This window comes from Homo sapiens, chromosome 10 (genome assembly GCF_000001405.40).
Source record: "Homo sapiens chromosome 10, GRCh38.p14 Primary Assembly".
NCBI classification, from domain to species: domain Eukaryota; kingdom Metazoa; phylum Chordata; class Mammalia; order Primates; family Hominidae; genus Homo; species Homo sapiens.
The window spans coordinates 62386334-62408050 of NC_000010.11; the positions used below are offsets into that span (position 1 = coordinate 62386334).

General features: G+C 40.1%; 1 protein-coding gene across 2 annotated transcripts in view; it reads left to right on the top strand.

Moving 5' to 3' along the window:
* ZNF365 (zinc finger protein 365) overlaps positions 1–21717 on the top strand; it is a 105917-nt gene that overhangs the window by 11965 nt on the left and 72235 nt on the right. Inside the window, exons 3-5 of one of the 2 annotated variants that reach the window (NM_014951.3) lie at positions 2063–2243; positions 12407–12444; positions 13195–16117. In NM_014951.3, coding sequence (NP_055766.2) covers positions 2063–2243; positions 12407–12444; positions 13195–13456 — 481 coding nt within the window. In that variant the 3' untranslated portion in view covers positions 13457–16117. Of the gene's footprint in view, positions 1–2062; positions 2244–12406; positions 12445–13194; positions 16118–21717 lie in introns of those variants that run through there. The other variant, NM_199450.3, reaches the window with a different exon arrangement.

Genomic DNA, 21717 nt, shown 5'->3' on the forward strand with positions numbered 1-21717 from the left:
AAACTTGAAACTTGACGATGAAAAAAATTCTTTTCCAGAAGGACTCTTATTTCTTGTGTGTGGATATTTCTTAGCTACTGAAAGATGATGGAATTATTATGGAATTAGGGTTTATGTTTGATCCTGGTTGGGAAACTAGAAAAAACAGGGGCTGGTATCACTAGCATTTCTTTGAGTGAATCATTATTAGAGCCAGCCTGTTGTCTGTTTTTATACATATGTAATTCCCAAAGTTTTGTAAGGATGTGTGATTCTATAGGAAGTGTCAGAAAAGTTTCAGTATGGCCATGTGTGGCGTAATGTATTTGTGAGAGAAAAATCATGACTAATTGTAAAAGTGGCACACTGACTATTAGTACAGAAGAAAAGAGCTGGAGGTCACTACCAGCTATTTTGCAAAGATCTTATGTAAAACTCTGACTTCCTGAGCTAGACTTCCCTGAAGTTCTACTCCCAAGAGAATTACAGAGCTCAGTGGAAAATAAAGATCAAGTGGAGGTTGAGAAGATGTAGAGAAGCCAATGAATTTAATTAACTGTCTAGAACAACTGAATGAGGTTGGATTAACAAAAATTAGCATTCACGAATCAAAATTGAAAGAGCCTGAAAGGACAGAAAGTAGAGTCTTTAGAATCTTGTGTAAGTTGAACATGGCAAAAACAGTGAGAGGCCATTCCTTGAAGACTGAGAGAGATTTTGGAGACATGTAAAGGAAATACTACCCAACGGACAGTAAAATTATGGAACTCATTAGCTCCCCTGGGACTTGCAGAACATACAAGGGTGATGACTAAAAGGATATTCATGGCTTCTTATTAAGTGAAGACAATAGGGTAGAGAGAACTCTGGCAATATACACCTATTCATAGTGGTGATTACTGGGTCCTTGGCCTAGGAAAGAGGGTTGGAGAGAGGGGAATTGAGAGTTGAGAGCAAGGTAGGAAAAGAAGGAAAACCGTGTATGTGTGCTTGGGTGGGTGTGTTTGGGGATGAGTTTGATGTTCATGAGGATGGCTACCAAGATAATGGTGGTGGTCTCAGGATAATGGAGTTTCAGGTGATCTTTCCTTTTTTATATTTCTAATGGGTTATTTGAATTTTTTAAATAAAGAGCTTATTTATAAATCAGAAAAAAATACTATTTTCATATTTCCATTAAAAATGAAAGCAAAATATAAGATGGTAATAAAGTTATTAGAATTTTTCTGGATTTGTAATCTACTTGTGAATTATGTAGATAAAGGAGTAGTTGAAGTATTTTGCTCAGCTTCTTAGGGGAGGGCAACCCATGCATTGCTTCTCTTATGTCAGCATTAGAATAGTTTTCCCGGTGGTCTTTGGGTTGACCTCGTGGTAGCTGTATGGGCTGTTTTGTTCTAAGCTCTAAGCTAAAAAATATACTGTTGGACAAGATGACTCATTTGATGTGCTGTTTTGGTGCTCAGCTCGGCCTCTTGCTCCTATACTTTCTCTCCCTGTAGAGTTTTCTCTCCCAATCGCCAGACTTTAAAAATCCAAGTCAGAGCTTGTCTTAAAAGCAATACATCCAATGGTTTCCCATCTCATTTGTAATAAAACCAGAAGTCTCACAGTGACCTGTGAGGTCCTACCTAGCTCCCTCCTCCATGTAGACCCCCTTGCTGTACCTCAGACCCATCTGCTGTCCCTGGTTTGCTCTTCCTAAACACCTGCATGGCTTCTTCCACAGGTCTCTGTTCAAATGTCACCCCATTCAAAAGGTCGTTTCTAACTTTGCTTTTTAAAATATTATTCACTCCTTTCCTTCCTCTGTCACTGTCCCCTTGCACCCAGTTTCAATTTTCTTAGCACTTATGACCATCTGACATATATTTATTTGTTTGTTTTATAGTGACTATCTTCCTCTATTAAAATACAGTCTGTAAATGTAATCACAAAGAGGTGATTACCTCTCTCGTCATTGCCATGGAGTACTGCCTAGGGTGTTAACTGACAAATAGTAGGCACTCAATAAATATGTGTTGAATGAGTGAATTCCTTGCCTTATATTTCCCTTTTGTGTTCTGACATTTTTGCCTTGCAGAGAAGTTGTCACATTCAACCATTTCCTGGAAGCGGCAGCTGAGAAGGAGGTTCAAGGGAAAGCCCGGCTCCAGGACTTTATTGAGAATCTGTTACAGCGGGTAGAACTGGCGGAGAAGCAGCTTGAGTACTATCAGAGCCAGCAGGCCTCTGGCTTTGTCCGTGATCTCAGCGGGCACGTGGTGAGTCACCCCGGGCCAGCCACCGAGTGTAAGATCCCTGTGGTTGGTGAGAATGGGCTGAGGACAGAGAAAAGGGAGCTGGGTGACTTGCAGGGACTCTCTAGACATCATTTGAGAGCACTGCCTGGGCCATGCCTGTATTGTGGAAATGTTACTGGGGAGTCCAGGACGCCTGGAAGTAAGGTAAATGCTGCATGTGCCGTTTTCAGTCGCTCTTCACCCTCCCACTCCACATCATGCTGAGTTGGTAGAAATATATATATTTTAAATTTGTAAAATAGAAGAGTTTGAAGTATCCAAAGAAATCATTCATTTCAATTTTGATGTTCAAGTAGCTCAGAAGTTATTATCATGTTTTGGAGGTCTTCAAGAGAATCTTACGAAATTCAGTAAAGTAAGATCAAACCACATACACATTTTTTTCCTTAATGGGGGGCAAGCACTGTTCAACAGTCTCTATAAGTTAAAATTCTTCATATAGATTTTCAAAAAGACTGAAAGATTCACAAGTGATAGTTCTAGGGTAGATTCCTGCATACAGTTTTGCATATAGTTTCAGGAGTTTAAGAAACGCCTAAAGCCCAGATGAGATCCCTGGATGTGGATAAAGATCCAGGTTCTCATAGGGGGCTTGATCAGGATTCCCTTGGTCTCGTTGGAGGGCGGAGGGAGGTACAAATAACCATACTCTAGGTCGATGGGGGGCGGGGGTGGGTGGTCATATTTGCCCTGTCTACGGTTTCCTACAACAAAACCAAGGAAATATTTTGGATACCCCAAAGCGGTTTATTTATAACATTTTCATTACTTATTGAACTTTATTTATGCTTACCTCCTTCCTAGCAGATTTAAAAATAGTTTTGTTTTTTTTTTTACTGCTTCCACCCCCGCAGCAAATGGGCTCTATTATAAGGAAAAGAAAATAGGCAACATTTATGCCGATCAAAAGATTAGCAAGGTTGCTATTGGTTGATTTAAAAGTTTACTTAGAGCTTTCTGGAAGCCAGGGTGAAAAGGCAACATGATTAAATAAGAAAACTAATTGTCCAGATGAAGGAATGAAATGAAAGGCAGGTGGATAAAAGAAGGAACAGCAGAGAGGAAGGGAGGAAGGACGGAAAGAAATGAAGAAATCCTACATGGTGCTTGTTGTAATCATGTACACTTGGCCTTAGCGCAGCTCAGTGATATAAGCCCCAGAACTTTCCAGAACAAAAAGAGACTGGAAGGAAGTGTGTTACATCTGTGAGGTTTCAGGTGCTATATTCAAAGAAGTCTCATCCATGTAACATATTTATTATTTTCTGGGTGGATGTCTGTGGTCTTCTACGTAAAATGCTTCTGAGGGGGAAGTCACACCACACTTTGATCCCTCTCCATCTCCTCCTTGGGAAACCATGAGCGTGTCCAGCCTTGACTAGCTGTGGCTGGAGGGACTATCTGAGCCTCTTTCTGCCGTCTTCTTTCATCCTGCCCTCTTAAGAGAGGGTTGGGGCATGAGGTTATGGTGCCCAGATGTGAGGTGAAAAGGCCTGAAAATGCCTGGCTTCCGGTTTATTCTTACTCTGCTTCTGACTGGGCAAGATAGTTAGTCTTCCTGGGCCTATATTTCTTCTGTAAAATGAAGGGGTTGGATTCAGTGCTTTCCAGGTTGTTTTGGCCTCTTAACTTGTGTGAGCATCACCTGACTTTGATGGTTAGGAATTCTAAAATTAAAATGTAACATTGACACTTTCATATTTAGAATTATAAGTCATCCAGAGCTAAGAAATGTATGAAATCTTCCGATACTCAGCCAAGAGGAATCTCAAAGAGAGAAAACAATGGAAGGCAAGGAGGAAGTAAGGAAGCCCATTCATTCTCTCTTTTAAAATTGTTTTTGCTCACCTTTTTTGCTTAGTTTATTTTTTTGGCTTGAAAGTTGAACATTTTTTAAAGAGACATAGCCAGTCATTATTTCTCATCATGCCAAATAATGTAATCAAAAGTTGGGTAGCATTTTGGCTCTTCTAGTTAGATATGTACATGCAAAATTATATCCAGTTGTGTCGCTTTACAATGTGACACATTCTGAGAAATGTGTGGTTGGGCAATTTTGTCATTGTATGAACATCATAGAGTGTATTTACACAAACCTACATGGTATAGCCCACCACATGCCTAGGGTATATGGTATATGGCCTATTACTCCCAGGCTATAAACCTGTACAGCATGTTACTGTACTGACTACTGTAGGTGATTGGAACACAATGATAAGTATTTATGTATCTAAACAGATAGAGAAGAAGAGAAGGTACAGTAAAAATATGATATTTAAAAAAGGTAAGAAATAGTATAGCTGTATAGGGCATTTACCATGAATGGAGCTTGCCGGATTGGAATTTGCTCTGGGTGAGTCAGTGAGTGTCTGGTGAGTGAATGTGACATTACTGTACACTACTGTAGACTTTATGAACACTGTACACTTAGGCTACACTAAATTTGTTTAAAACTTTTCTCTCAATAATAAATTAACCTTAGCTTACTATAACTTTTTTACCTTATAGACTTTTAAATTATTTTTTAACCTTTTGACTCTTTTGTAATAACAGCTTAAAACACAAACATTATATAGAAGTACAATAATATTTTCTTTTTTAAGTTTTTTAAATTTTTAATTTTTGATTTCCATTGGTTTTGGGGGAACAGGTGGTGTTTGGTTACATGAATAAGTTCTTTAGTGGTGATTACTGAGATTTTGGTGCACCCATCACCCAAGCAGTGTACACTGTACCCAGTTTGTAGTCTTTTATCTCTCACACCCCTCTCATCCTTTCCTCCTCCACCCCCTCCCCCGAGTCCTCAAAGTCCATTGTATCATTCTTAAGCCTTTGCATTCTCATAGCTTAGCTCCCACTTATGAGTGAGAACATACAATGTTTGGTTTTCCATTCCTGAGTTACCTCACTTAGAATAACGGTCTCCAGTTCCATCCACGTTGCTGAGAATGTCATTCTTTCTTTCCTTTTTATGGCTGAGTGGTATTCCACGGTATATATAAACCACAATTTCTTTATCCACTCGTTGATTAATGGGCATGGGCATTTGGGCTGGTTCAGTATTTTTTCAATTGCAAATTGTCCTGCTGTAAATGTGTATGCAATTATCTTTTTCATGTAATGACTTCTTTTCCTCTGGGTAGATACCCAGTAGTGGGATTACTGGATCAAATGGTAGTTCTACTTTTAGTTCTTTAAGAAATCTCCACACTGTTTTCCATAGTGGTTGTACTAGTTTACATTCCCACCAGCTGTATGAAAGTGTTCGTTCCCTTTTCGCCACATCTCTGCCAACATCTATTTAAAAACTTTTTCATTATGGCCATTCTTGCAGGAGCAAGGTGGTATCACATTGTGGTTTTGATTTGCATTTCCCTGATCATTAGTAATGTCGAGCATTTTTTCATATGTTTGTTGGCCATTTGTATATCTTCTTTTGAGAACTATCTATTCCTGTCCTTAGTCTACTTCTGATGGGATTGTTTTTTTCTTGCTAATTTGTTTGAGTTCCTTGTAGATTCTGGATATTAGTCCTTTATCAGATGTATAAATTACGAAGATTTTCTCCCACTCTGTGGGTTGTCTGTATACTCTGCTGATTATTTCTTTTGCTGTGCAGACTTAAGTTTAAGTCTCATCTATTTATCTTTGTTTTTGTTGCATTTGCTTTTGGGTTCTTGGTCATGAAGTCTTTGCCTAAGCCATTGTCTAGAAGGGCTTTTCTGATGTTATCTTCTAGAATTTGTATGGTTTCAGGTCTTAGATTTAAGACCTCGATCCATCTTGAGTTGATTTTAGTATAAGGTGAGAGATGAAGATCCAGTTTCATTCTTCTACACGTGGCTTGCCAATTATGCCAGCACCATTTGTTGAATAGGGTGGCCTTTCCCCACTTTATGTTTCTGTTTGCCTTGTCGAAGATCAGTTGGTTGTTAAGTATTTGGCTTTATTTCTGTGTTCTCTATTCTGTTCCATTGGTCTATGTGCCGTTTGTTTGTTTGTTTGTTTGTTTGTTTGTTTGTTTGTTTGTTTTTGAGACGGAGTCTTGCTCTGTTGCCAGGCTAGAGTGCAGTGGCGTGATCTCGGCTCACTGCAACCTCCACCTCTCGGGTTCAAGTGATTCTCCTGCCTCAGCCTCCTGAGTAGCTGGGATTACAGGCACCTGCCACCACACCCAGCTAATTTTTTGTATTTTTAATAGAGACGGGGTTTCACCACATTGACCAGGCGGGTCTGGAACTCCTGACCTCAGGTGATCCGCCCGCCTCGGCCTCCCAAAGTGCTGGGATTACAGGCGTGAGCCACCGCACCCGGCCCTATGTGCTTATTTTTATACCAGAGAAGTACAATAATATTCTCTTCATGTGCTTTATTCAATAAGCTTTTTTTCTATTTTTACATTTTTTAATTTTTCTGTTAAGCTTTTTTTTTTTTGGTTAAAATCTAAGACACAAATACACACAGAGCCAGGATTATCAATATTCCTGTTCGCATCTTTTCCCACTGGAAGGTCTTCAGAGGCTATAGCGCGTACTGAGCTGTCATCTCCTATGGTCACAACACCTTCTTTTGGAATACTTCCTGAAGGACCTGCCTGAGGCTGTTTTACAGATAACATTTTATTTTTATAGAACAGGTACAGTCTAAAATAGAAAGATTAAAAGTATAGTATAGTAAATACACAAACCGGTAGCCTAGTCGTTTATTGTCATTATCAGGTATTATGCTCTGTACATGATTATATGTGCTATACTTCTATGTGACTGGCAGCACAGTAGATTTGTTTACACCAGCATCACCACAAACAATTCATTGTGCTACAACATTATAACAGCTATGGTGTCACTTGGTGATAGGAACTTTTCAGCTTTGTTATAATGTTATGGGAACACCCTCGTATATGCAGTCTGTCGTTGACTGAAACATTGTTTTTTAGTACATGACTGTGTATATGTGTGTGCCACACACAAATGTACATATACATGTACATGCATGCATATACACACATAAATACATGCACAAAAATGTACACATCCATATATACATACACAAATGGTGGGAAATTAATAAATATTTATGTTTGTACCTTCTGTATTCCAAATATGATATGATCAACCTTCATGGACTTGCTCTACTGAAGGAAAAATTGACTAATTCAAATAAAGTACAGTTAGAATATAGCAAGAAATTTACAGACGAGAGCTGTGTATGAGTGGGGCATGATCAGGCTGTGGTGAGGGAACTGTATGAGGGTTGGAGGGAGGATACGTTGCCCTAGGAAGACCAAGAATGAGGTATGTGATTTCTGAAAGGATTAGGCAGATGTGGTTTCCCCTTGTTTCCTTGTATAGTACTCGAAATTCTGCTTTGAACCATAGTCAGACACATTATGACACAGTCTGCAGACCCTGTAGACCATTTTTCCTTATAACAGTGTGTTTCATTGTCATACAGGTTGAGTATACTTTATCCGAAATGCTTGGGACCAGAAATGTTTCAGATTTTAGATTTTTTTAGAATTTGAAATACTTGCATTCAGCTTACTGGTTCAGCATTCCTAATCCAAAATCAGAAATCCAAAATGCTCCAGTGTGAGTATCTCCCTGGAGGGTCATGTTGGCTCTCAAAAAGTTTCACATTTTGGAGCTTTCGGATTTTGGGTGTTTGGGTTAGGGATATTCAGGCTGCGGTAGTTAGCACTATGTAAAATTATATTCATTTGTTTAATCAGTAATTGTGTCCCCCTCCTCACTGAGAGCAGTTTCCTCAGTACCAGTAAGTTCTGCACCCCAGTAAATATGTGTTAAATGAATTACTGCTAGTCCTGATGTAGCAACCTGCAGGACATAAATGCAACACTTAAAATAAGATTATCCAAACTGTTCCATGACCTTCCATTTGAGCAGTTGTGTGAGTGATTTTGACAGATGGGATAGTAGGTCACTTTGTGTCTAATTCGGCACCATTTTTCAGAGCATAAAGATAAAATATCTGAGTAAGCATATTATATTTTTAGAAATCAGCCAGGTGAACAAGAACATAAATGCTCAAGGGAATTGAGGGAAAGATACAGATGCCAAAACATTATTTCAGCAAAGACACTAAATGGAAGGGGAAGGAAATTTTTCCATAGCACAGAAGATTCTTTAATGCTATAAGTCACCTTAGAAACAAGCAACTTACATATCAATCTAGGAATTTCACTGCTCTCTAGAGGTGGTAATGAGAAAAAGAGGGAAGAGAAGAGAGGGAGGGAACTAAGGTGGTTATAAGAAGGGAGATGAGGATCTACACTGCTTTTGTAGTGCAGCCTTAGTGGAGAGAGTGAGATCCGGGCTGGGGATGGTATTCCTCATTGTTCTAAAGGAGGGAGCTCAGGTATGCAAGCAAGAGGGAGAGAGTGGGGAGTAGAGTCAGAATCTTCTGCTTATTCTGCAGTGCACTGGGGCAAGAAGCTGTCCTCGGTGTGGCTGAGGCTTCAGAAGCGTGGATTTCTGGGCTCTCTGTATCTTCACTAAGCTGGGCCAAAGATATTATTCAAAACTTTCTTTGTTAAAAGCATCTGAGTTATTCTTTGTCTCTATAGCCACAGATACCCTGGGCAGATTTGGCACTTTGATGATATCCTGGGCACAGATTTGGCAGTTTGATGATATCAAAGACGTGGCTTCTTATTTTATAGGTGAATGTATATTACAGGCTGAGCATCCCTGTTCCAAAACTCTGACACTCTTTTTTTTTTTTTTCGAGGCGCTCTTGTTGCCCAGGCTGGAGTGCAATGGCATGATCATGGCTCACTGCAACCTCTGCCTCCCTGGTTCAAGCGATTCTCCTGCCTCAGCCTCCCGAGTGGCTGGGATTACAGGCACCCACCACCACACCCGGCTAATTTTTTTTTTTTTTTTTTTTTTTGTATTTTTAGTAGAGACGGGGGTTTCACCATATGGGCCAGGCTGGTCTCGAACTCCTGACTTCAGGTGATCTGCCCACGTCGGCCTCCTTTAGTGCTGGGATTGCAGGTGTGAGCCACTGCACCAGGCCAAATCTGACATTCTAAATGCTCCAAAATCCAAAACATTTTGAGTGCTCCAGGGTCATGCTCAAAGGAAATGCTCGTTGGAGCATTTTGGTTTTCATATTTCTGGATTAGGGTTGCTGAACTGGTAAGTAGAATGCAAATATTCTGAAATTCTAAATCTGAAGGACTTCTGGTCCCAAGCATTTTGGATAAGAGTTAGTCAAACCTGTACTTAGGTTGGCTTTTAGTACAAGGCTATTTATATTTTTCCAATCTGGGACCTTGATCAAAGGCTCTTTTGATCCTCATCTTAACATCCTCCTCTCCCTAATCAAAAAGAAGACAAAAGTGTTGGACTAGGAGAAAATGGAAGTAGGTAGATGGACTAAGTGGGAAAAGCTTTTCCATCTGCCTGACGCCAAAGGGGCCAGGAGGAACAGTGGCCTCTTGTGTTCATGGGGGGAGCAGAGGAAATTCTGTGGTGGCTGTGATGATAAGCCCTGGCCTCCACCCCAAACCTCATCATTTATAGGATCTTTGGAGGAATTCTAGTCCAGCCATTGATTCCACTTAATTTATTGTGTACATACTTCTTTGTTCTTATATGTATGTACATGAACACATAGTTTTTAAGAATACAGTACAGAGTGAAGCCTTGCTCAGGCTTGGAGTCTGCTAACTTGGATTTGAAGCCCAGCCCGAACACTGGTAAAGCACCGAGGCTTCAAATCAGTTACTTAACTCTGCTGCCTTAGCTTCCGTATCTCTAAAATTGGAATGATGATGCTTACCTCCTAGGGCTGCTGTGAGGGTTAATTCTGCCTGTTCTGTGGTCAGTTTTTGATCTGGTGTGTGACATCTAGACATGCACAATTTATAGTACCTTTATATGTGTGAGCTTCATGACCCATCTTTACTCATCTTTATCATGCATTTCCCTCTTGGTAAGACACAGTAAAGTCCTTTCATATCTTGAGGTCCCAGCAGGGCCCATTAGTGACATTCATAGTCACTAAGGTTGGAGTTCTAAAAACATTTTTGAAATCAGAGATCACTTTGAATATGTGATAACACTGTTAGTCTTTTTCTCAGGGACAGAAACATACACACACATGTATTTGTTCTCTCTCTCTCTCTCTCAATTTTGCATAAAATTCCAAAGAGCAGTATGTATACAAATGTATGCAACAAATCATTAAACTGCCACTTACATACATACAAACGGTAAAGTGAACACATTTTGTTATGCTCTAATAATTAAAAAAACAATAAGGAGAAAAGATTTAAAGGAAGAAAATCCTTGTTTATTTTTACAATTTATACATTGACTGAAGTTCACTGAAGGAGCCCAGCTGAGAAATACTTATTGGTGATGGTGGGGTAGAGAAAGTTGATGCCAGTGCCTTTGGTTCCCCAGAAGCTACCAGCCTGGCGTTTGCCGGAGCCATCTGTCCCACCTTCTTTGTATGTTGCATAATCTTTGGGACCTCATGTGATAACGGTGCCTTTTTCTGTTACACTTTACTAATCTGAAGCCAAACCTAGCCTGCATGAGCAGGCTCAAAATATTGCTGAGTTCTGATTGTGTCAAAAGACAGAACACAAGAATCCTATCTTGTCTCCTCATGACCTGAGCCTCCTTTTTTTTTTTTAAGGAACTTCCTTTGCGGCTTGCTGCAGACAGAAGAATGCAGGCAGTGATCCTGTTAGGCTGAGCTTGGGTTTTCAGATCATTTTAGTACAGCAGGGACATATATCTTGGCCACACTGGCCCAAATACCAAGGTGGCCTTTTCTCCATATTTTATTTGTCGTTTCTCTTCTTCTGTTGGTCTGCCTGCTAATGTGACACCACTTATTCTAGTGAAAACTACATGAGGAAGATCAGGATCAGGGGGATGGAAATACACTGCCTATACACTGGATGGTGACATCTCTATCACAAAATGATAATTATCAATTTATTCTGCAGATGAGAATATTCCAAGCCCAGCCACAAAAGTGCATGCAGATATTTTATTGCATGAGTTATTAGGAGTGGGAAATCATCTCAATGATAGACAGCCTCAGGGACATTTGTGGGGTTGTTCTTCATATTCTCTCATTTTAGGAATGATGTATTATAGGCAAGAAACCTTTTATGTCAGTGTTCCCCTTAGTTGATACATTGTGACTGGCCACAGCTATAGATTAGCTGCAAATACAGCCTGAATCAATCAAGAAATCATGGCAGATCATTTCAAGTTTTCAAATTTTATGTATTTATTTTATTTCAATGGTTTTGGGAGGAACAGGTGGTTTTTGGTTACATGAATAAATTCTTTAGTGGTGATTTCTTAGATTTTGGTGCACCCATCACGTGAGCAGTGTACATTATACCAATATGTTGTCTTTTATCCGTCACCCCACTCCTTGAATAACTAAAAGTAGAACTACTGTTCGATCCAGCAATCCCTCTACTGGGTATCTACCCAAAGGAAAAGAAGTAAATTATATGAGAAAGACACATGCACACACATGTTTATAGCAGCACAATTTGCAACTGCAAAAATATGGAATCAGCCTAAGTGCCCATCAACCAACGAGTGGATAAAGAAAATGTGGTATATGTGAACCATGGAATACTACTCAGCCATAAAATGGAATGAAATAATGGTCTTTGCAGCAACTTGGTTGGAGCTGGAGGCCATTATTCTAAGTGAAGTAACTCAGGAATGGAAAACCAAGTATCTTGTGTTCTCACTTGCAAGTGGGAACTAAGCTATGAGGATGCAAAGGCATTCCAGTACTTGGAAACATATTTCTTCAAATGTTGCTCTACTGGGGGGCTCTTTTGCGTGTTTGAGATTTTTGAGATCTGCTGACATAGACTTCTCAGAAATCTTAGAACAAGTGCCCACAGAGGCTCCTGGAGTAAGCAAGCAAAGGCTGAGCATGAGATGTTCTTGTTCACTGATGCAATGGATGGTGCTGCAGGTCGTGCTACCAGTAGCAGTCACTGACTCCCTTAATGGGAATGCAGTTTTTAGAAAGTATAAGAAATATTTTAAAAACCAAATCCAGTCCTCAAATGCAGTTAACATTTTTTCTTATTTGTTTTCCTTCAGCTTACAGACATCTCCTCAAATAGGAAGCCCAAATGCCTGTATGTATGTATTTTTATACTTGGGCCATTTGATAATGTTTGTATTGTATGTTTTCCTGTTGCATTTTATATGAGATCGTATCTATTTTATATGATATCTATATTATAAATGGCTTTGGGAGGCTTAAGTGAAAACTGACCTGCATGTGTATCTAACTTTGTGAAAAGTTGATGTGACCTTTCAATATCCTACTAGTCTATTAGTATATACCACTATGATGGCACTGGAGGAATATTTTTAGAGTATTATATAGTATAACTTTCTCTTATTGAGGTATAGTGTGGTCATAATAACTCTATAGTACTATTAATGTAGTTCATGTACTACATTGTTTATGTAAATTCATCCTGGCAGTCATATGCTTTACAACATCTATGCAGTGAATTTGTCTGAGTCTGCTAGTCGTCACTTAACAAGTCAAGAGACATGAGTTCTGGTCCCATCTTCTCCATAGACCAACTGTCTGTATTATTCGGGGTAGTCATTAACATTTTCTATACCTCAGTCTTATCACTGTAAATAGAACTAGTAATATCTCCCTGGGAATTTAGTACCATGTGATCTTTTCATGGCGACCACAGGAATTTTTGGAAGAAAAATACTCATATTATGATTTGCCTTTGTGGTAGCATTATCACCACTGTAGCATGTAGGAGAGATTGTGCCATGAGTAATTATTCTTTTAAGGTTTTAAAGAAATCTTTCTTTCTGCTCATCTCTTCTCCACTCCCCCCTCCAACCCTCTGTAGAAGCCGAGGGCACCCGCATTCGGTATGTAACCACCCTGATCTCAAGGCCCATTTCCACCCAAAGGGAAGGAACCACCTGAAAAAGGCCAAGGATGACAGAGCCAGCATGCAGCCTGCCAAGGCCATTCACGAACAGGCTGAGTCCTCAAGAGACCTCTGCAGACCTCCAAAGAAAGGGGAGCTCCTGGGGTTTGGCCGCAAAGGCAACATCAGGCCCAAAATGGCTAAAAAAAAGCCAACAGCCATTGTGAACATCATCTAAAAGGGTGGGTGGTGCTGGACCAATCATCGCTGGGCTTTGGGGAACGTTGTTCCAGGAGCCAACAGTAATGTCTTTCTGGAAACATTCCATAGTAAGACACATTGGAAAAGCCAAGGGCATAACACAGGCAAGCACCTCAATTAACCAGAGCTTAGCAAATGGGAATCTTAGTGAACCAGAATTTTATTATAACCCCCTTTTAGAAGCTTGCAAATTACAGAAAGAATAAAAAAATTAAATCAATCTTAAAGCTCTAACTTCTAAAGTAACTGGCCCAGTCTCCAGTAATCTTGGCATCTGGGCTTCTATGCAGTGGTCACTAATTTTCAGGACCAAGGCCACACAAAATGTCAGGCCTAGGGAGAAAATTCATCTGTGCCCACTGCTCTCCAAAGTGCGAGGCAAGGAATGGCAGTGTAAAGTTCTGTTAATAGCAGTAAAATGAAAATATTTGTGTTTGTGTATAACCTTCCCCTCAGCTAATTTGAAAGCCTCCAAAATAAGGATTCCCATTCCCCGAGTATTCTGGTTAATCAAGATTTCAATTTCTGGGTTGCTCAAGGGACTCGTTCAGTCAGACTTCAGTTCTCATTCCGACAGGGTGTCTTTCAGTTCGTTTGTTTGATTGAGGTTTTTTGGTGGCCTAGATGCATGTTTATTCAGATTTTGGTACACCTCTGCCGTCTTCTTTGGCTGAGTATTCTGCACCCACAGACCATGCTGCCAGCCTCTATCTTAATAGCTGCTTCTGTGGATATGGCTGGGGAGCGAAGTAAAATCCTCTTTTGATTAGCACCCAGCATGGGCTGGGTGGCTAGGTGGTTGGAATGACAGTGGACTGCACGCTTGGTGCATCGTGCATCGTGACCATCCTGGAAGCACTGCGGGTGTCGCCAAGCCCTTTCCTAAGACCTGCTTCCCGGCCAGTGTCAGTGGCCCTCTCTCTCTCTGCTATGGGCATGACTTTCTCTTCGCTGGCTTAACTTTTCCACTGGGTGGTTCACTTTGCCTCCTGCTGCTTCTGTGCCCTGTTAAGGGCTTCAGGTATCTTTCAACCAAGTATCTGGAGTGTTCACTCTATGTTGCATTCTAAAGTAATTTCTGAAATAAACAATGCATGTAGGAGCCAGAATCTGACACTGTCTTCCCCTCCTTCCCTCCCTAAAATGGCTTTAGTTTCCACAAAGAGCTGTTAAGAATTTCCTGCTGTATGATTTTCCTCAAGAATGAATTTCCATGTTATTTTTTCCTTAAATTTAGCAATATCATCAGGTCTCTTGCAGAGTTTACAAGTGCTGACATTCTTCTGAAAACAGGAATAATTTTGTCCACAAATATATACATATATACATATATATAACACATACAAAATATATATGTTAAGTATATTAATAATTTATTTTTAAATACTCATGGAGAAAGTGTGTGTTTGTGGTGGGTGGTTTTTAAACTATATATGTTTGTTCATGTAAACTGAATTCTCTTATTTAAAAAATCAAAACTGTAACGTAATTAACATTGGCAGAATTATGATTGTTACTGCAATAAGCATCAAATTAGCAGCGCATTAAAAATAGGAAATAAAGCAGTTGCTTAAAATGCCAGTCAATTGAAAAGTGTAACTTATCATTATACAAACATTCTGAACCTACCATAATGAAAATGTTCTTGAATCTTCACTTTGACTTTCAGTTTATGGGGGGGGTAGATCATTCATGTGATATATAAGCAGCTATCAAGTGGGCAAAAACATTGCTGTGAATAGCACTGTTTAGGCTAACATTGTAAAAATTGTAATGTTATAATTATTATTTATTTGGAGAATTAACTTCCCCCTCTAAAGTTATTTATTATTGATGCTTATACCATGATTGCACCTTAGCCTTTTACATACTAAAAACATGACTTGTTAGTTGTATTGCATGCTCTTTGTCCTGTAATGTGTGTGCAATGACAACTTGTTTCTGTTTTATTTAAAGTAACTGACATTTTGGATTTTCATCTAACATAGAGGGCATGGCAACTCTCTTTGACAGTGGTACCCCATGATCTTCAGAAAGTACCATAATGTCATCCTACTCTACATTTCACAAGACGAATTATTTTGAGATTTGTTTATTATATTAAAATGTTTTTTTACGTTCCCACTAAATTTTGACCCCATATAAAGAAATGTGTTATGTATGTTGTGCCTCCTTAGAGACATAAATTTAGTGTCAAAACATGGGAGATGGCTTACTCAGAAGCATACTCCACTTAACATACCATGGCCTGAGCTAAGTACCATGTCCTGTTTGTGTCTTATTTTTAAATATTTTCTTTGTCCACATGGGCCGTTGACCTTAGAGTTAAGGCGGTTGCTTTTTTGAAGAAATCACCAAAGTTTCTGGGAAACTATGTTCAAGGTTGAAATGGAGAGTAGATTTAATTTTATTTGTCTTGTAGGGAAGAAATCTTCCTTTGAACCGCTTTTCTTGCTTTTTCCCTTTTTCCCAAACTAGGTTACAGGTTCTTATCTGCAAGGTTCAAGTTGCTTAGACATTGTTTTCCAGTATTCTGCAGGGCCAGTCAGTTGTACAGAAGTTGGAATATTCTGTTCCAGAATTAAAGAAGTTTTTAGATTATGAAATATTATGATAATAAAGCTATATTTCTGACTAATGTGTTGATATGTTTTGTCTAGTTGGAGTGTTTTTTGGGGAGCCAAGTATGTTGATCCACTAACAGGAAACAAAATGGTCCTTCCTGAATAAGCTGTTCATCATACATATAATCACCAGGATCTTGTGTACCTATAGGTTTTCTTAACTTAGCTAGATCATTTTTGTTCATCATAATTCCTATATCTAAAAGTTATTTTTACATATGTTCACACTGAGACAGCTTCATTAAAAGCCCCATTTGGCACTTTTCCCCATCTTCCTCCACAACCATGAGTAATTTTCCTACACTGTATTTTTAAACTTGTCATCTCTTAGCAATTCATAAACAGATTTCACAGTATATATCCCAGCCTGTATATGCTATACATCCAAGACATTGCAAAGCCCAGAGAGTGATCAGAATAGATAACAGAGAGAAGTATGTGTCTGGTGGAATTAGCCATTGTTCTTTTAAGAACCATGAAATCAGGAAAATTTAGGGAACTCCATTTGTTTAGGAGCTGTGAGAGTTATTCAGGAGGTGACCTTAGTCTGCACTTACAGTTGACCCTTGAACAGTGCAAGGGTTAGGGACATCGACTCCTGCGTAATTCAAAATACATGAGTAACTTTTGACTGCTCAAAAACTTAACTACTGATAGCCTACTGTTGACCAGAAGCCCTACTGATAACATAGTTAACACATATTTTGTATGTTAAATGTATTATCTACCGTATTCTTACAATCAAACTAGAGAAAAGGACATGTTAGTAAGAAAATCATAAGGAAGAGAAGATACAGTTATATTCATTAAGTGGAAGTGGATCATCATAGAGGACTTCATCGTCATTGTCTTCACGTTGGGTGGGCTGAGGAGGAAGAGGAGGAGGAAGGGTTTGTCTTGCTACCTTTGGTGGCAGAAAAAATCAGGATGGAACTGGACCCGCCGGGTGCGGTGGCTCACGCCTGTAATCCCAGCACTTTGGGAGGCCGAGGCGGGCGGATCACGAGGTCAGGAGATCGAGACCATCCTGGCTAACATGGTGAAACCCCGTCTCTACTAAAAATACAAAAAATTAGCCGGGCGCAGTGGCGGGCGCCTGTAGTCCCAGCTACTCAGGAGGCTGAGGCAGGAGAATGGCGTGAACCCGGGAAGCGGAGCTTGCAGTGAGCTGAGATCGCGCCACTGCACTCCAGCCTGGGTGACAGAGTGAGACTCCATCTCAAAAAAAACAAAAACAACAGCAACAACAAAAAAAGAACTGGACCCACTCAGTTCAAACCTGTATCATTCAAGAGTCAACTGTAGTTATGTCAAGGTTAATGGGTTCCCCAGGTTATAGTGTTTTTGAGAAATAGCTGTGACATTCCTGATTATCTCAGTTTATTAGAAAACATAAATCCCAATATCTTGATTCTGCTCAATCTGGATCCTTCAGAAGTGAATTCCAGGGGTGGCATGCCTGCATGATCCCAAAAAGAAGCCCCGGAGCAATTTCAAATGTTTAAATGATGAAGAGCTTTAGAAATTGAATTCCTTTTTGTGGAATTAAGTAAATTTTTTCTTTTGTGTTCCTTTTTTTTGTTCATGTTCTGGGTCAGAACACAACTGAAATTTTCATTTAAGAAAAGAGTATTCGAACTATAGCCCTATGTTAAATTTACTCTGGATCTTCAGCTATTATTCCAGGATGGAAGAGTTTTTCCAGTAGAGGAACCTCACATATAGGCAGGCTAGATTCTCCTTCCCACCCTGTAATGGGGACACTGATACATTTTGCATATGTGGAGGTAGATGCCTAGGATGGTAAATGAGAACTTTGGTACCAATGTCCTGTGAGAAGAGGAGAGATTATTGCTGCCCTTAAGTATCTGAGGTGTTATCACATAGAAAAATACATATTTTGTGTGGCTGCAAAAGATATTACTGAGATCTGTGAGAGAAAGTTCTGAGGAAGCAGATGTCAAATTACTAAATGTAAAATTTCTAAGCACAACGGAATAGGTCACCTAGTTAAAAAGCGAGCTCCCTGTCTCTGAGCTACTATTTCCTTTGAGTACTACTTTTCTCTTAGCTACTCCTTTTCTCAGCCATTGTTCTTTTTAGAACCATGAAATCAGGAAAATTTAGGGGACTCCATTTGCTTAGGGGCTGTGAGAGTTATTTGAGAGGTGACCTTAGTCTGCCCTTATAGTTGACCCTTGAACATTGCAAGGGTTAGGGACACCGACTCCTGCGTAATTCAAAATCCATGAGTAACTTTTGATTGGGATTCTACATTGGGTTGGGAATTGGGCTGGGTTCTTCCAAAAATACTTGTAGTCTTGGGATTCTATTGTTTTATATATGTATTGATGTTACATTAATGTAAATGTTGGCCACATAAAACTTAGTGTCAACATGGTAACTTGATTTTGGAGATTTTATTTCACTGACTTGGGCTTTGCAAAGTTTGTAAATTTTGTAAAGTTACAAAGATAACACGCACCCATATTTATCCTTACAGAATCCTTTTGAAGCAAGTAGGGCTGAGGAGGTACAATTTTCTACTCTCAGCAGGTGGAGAAACAGCAGTTGGGGAAACAGGAGATGTACATCTTGTACTATTACCTCAGGATGATGTGCTTCTTGGAACGGAAGCATCTCACCTCCCTGAATGTGATTTCAGTGTTTAAAGAGAAGGTACATTTTTTGTTACAACATGGCTCCTGAATGCAAGCCAGGAACCTCATCTGGTGTTCAGTTAAATCAACAGCAGTTCTTTCCAGCACTGGAAGATAAATTGGCAATGTTGGACTTAGAGATGGTGTGTGTCATGTCAGGCTCCAGCATCGTGCCTTCTTCAGGCATTTTCCAGGTAGTTTTGATTATTCTTCAGCTTTTGCCTTTCTTATGAATATACTTAAGAAGGTGACATCATCACATTTTGCAATGAGAGGGGGGCTTATGATGGCTTGAAAGGGTTTCCAGGGCCCAGGAACGCCTCTGTGACAGAGCTTGAGTGAGAAAAAGGAATTGTCCTTCTACATCTCAGCCAATGCTCCTTCACCGTGTTCTGCCTCCTCATTGACAAAACTCCAAAAAATGATCCTATATGCATTTGTTGATTACATAAAAGTTCTCAGTGTCCTAAAATTCTGTTTAACATTTATGATTGGTTATTGCACCTATGCAAGCCACTATGGGAGTTATAGACGTTGCCACTCTGTAAGCTCAAGACCTCTGCCACCCTTTAGAGATGAGGACCCCAACTTGCCAAGGAATTTCGAAGTCTCAGATTGAAGTCTGTTAGATTTTAGTGCATATGTTTGTGGACATTTCACATTGGTTGTTTGCTGACTAACAAGTGGCATTGTTCACTTTGGTTGAGTATATCATACAGAAACAGAAAGATGGTTTTATATCTCAACCTCTCCTCTTTCCAAGCCCTAATTATTTGTTCAAGGGTGAACCCCACTTCCCCATTCTCAGGAATGTACTTTATTTTTATCTTTAAGTGTGCCTGTAGCTTGAAATTATAGCTAACACTTCTCATATAGTCCTAAACACAGAGATCTGGTAGAGGGAACCAAGATTCTTAAAGGGTAAGGGATACCCGAGGAGCTTAGAGTGGGTAAGGGCAAGAGGAGTGGACACACAGTTAGTTATTGGGACGAAGATCAAAGCATTGAATTTGCCCCGCATGCCCTGGCTCTGGCCTGTCTCTCCACTCCAGCCAGCACCAGACCTCTTGCTCCTTTCCAGCCACTGCCTTCCTTTCAGAGAGAGCAGAGCTCTCTCCATGCACTGCTTCCCTGACATGTGTCTTCTGCCTGGAATGGACTTCTCTTTCTTTTTCATCTAGTTAATTTCTGTTCAGCCTTCAGATTTGAGATCAATTGTCACTTCCAAGGCAGCTTCATAACTCTCAGAATACCATGTACCTATTCCTTGTAGGACTGATTCTAGGTGCCCCTTTATAATATTTAATGGTGTGATGACTTGACTCATATCTGCCTTCCCCACTGTTCTGTCATTTCCATAAAAAGGGGCCAAGTCTGTACCTTTTATCCCTAGTATGTCCCCAGTGCCAGATGCAGTACCCAGCATAGGGTGGGTCCTCAATAAGGTATTTGTGGAGTATGGGAACATCAGTGGCCTCAGATATGCTAAAAAAGAAAACTACAATGAGAAAATGGACTTTCTTCCAGCTGGGGAGGATCAAAGAGGAAGTAGTGTTTGCAGAATGAACAGGATTGGAGTTAGCAAAACAGCAGAGCATTTTAGGCAGTCTGAGTGTGGTCATGGAGGTAGAAAGCATAGGACAAGTGAACCCTGGGAAGTAACATAATTTTTCCTTGAATATCCATTTCTTGGCCAGTCTGTCTCCCATTTTAAGCGTAAGCCCCTCAGGTCTGCAGCTATCCTGTAGTGTTGTATCCCATTGTGAGAGAACTGTATCTACCCTGATGCTCCAGCACCTAGCACTGGGCCTGCCGCTGTGTAGAGATTCAGGAGATCCAGTGAGACAGCATCATTCCTGGAACCTGGGCAGGGGCTCACCTTGCCAGAGGGTCAAGTATCTCCAGCTCCAGGAAGAGAAAAACTACAACAGTATGGAACCAGGCAGAGCACTGGAGCACTCTGCTTCTGCTTCTAAGGGTCCTTCCAGCAAGGGCTGGAGCCCACAAACTGGCTGTCACTCCTCTTATTGAAGCCATTCCTACAAACTTTATAAAATTAATCAGAGAAGCATGGAGGGGAGAAACAAAAATAAACCAAGCTGGCAGCACTGTCAGTGTTTGTTATGAGGTCAGCTTGCCCTCTGACCTGCTTCCCCATAGTGGTTTGTGGCCTATTGCCCCAGAATCATGCAGACCCTGCTGTAAGACTATAGCTCCCCTGAACTGCTGTATAGATAAAAACTCAAACACTACAAAACATTAAGCTTTTCCTTTGAGATATTCCTTCAGGTCCTGTGTACCAGTGAAACTACTGACACCTGCTTGCCTGAAGGACCCCACAAGAAGCTGACTCACTAAAGAATGCGGTTCCCACATTCCCTTTACCCTTCTTAGGAAAACTTTTGACTTTTGACCCTCACTGTCCCTGATCCCCTTAAAAACACCAGCCCAGGAAAAATCAGGGAGATGGATTTGAGGGTCTCCTCTCCTCTCCTCTCCTCTCCTCTCCTCACTCGGTGCCCTGTGATTGTTAAAGTCTTTCTCTGCTGCAAACCCTGCTGTCTCAGTGTATTGAACTATTACTGTGTAGAAGGCATATGAACCTGTTGGTCCTAAAGCCTTATCAGTAGGTATTTTAATACTCTCCTTCTTTTAGCCTGCATCTATGGTAAGATAGAAAATACATGGTATTTCCTTCTGAATCCATGGTAGACATTGCTAATTGGCCAGGGTTATCTTTCCTGATGAACACAGACATAGCCTCAGAATCCTTCTTAACACAGCCTTAACCAGCTGTGGTAGGCAGAATGTCTACCTACCCAAACTTTTAACTTTGGAAGAATCCTTTAGATAATAACTATGTGTTGTTTAAGCCACTAAACTAGTGATAATTTGTTACAGCAGCCATAGAAAATGAGTATACCAGCTAGTCAGCATACAAATCACAATCTATT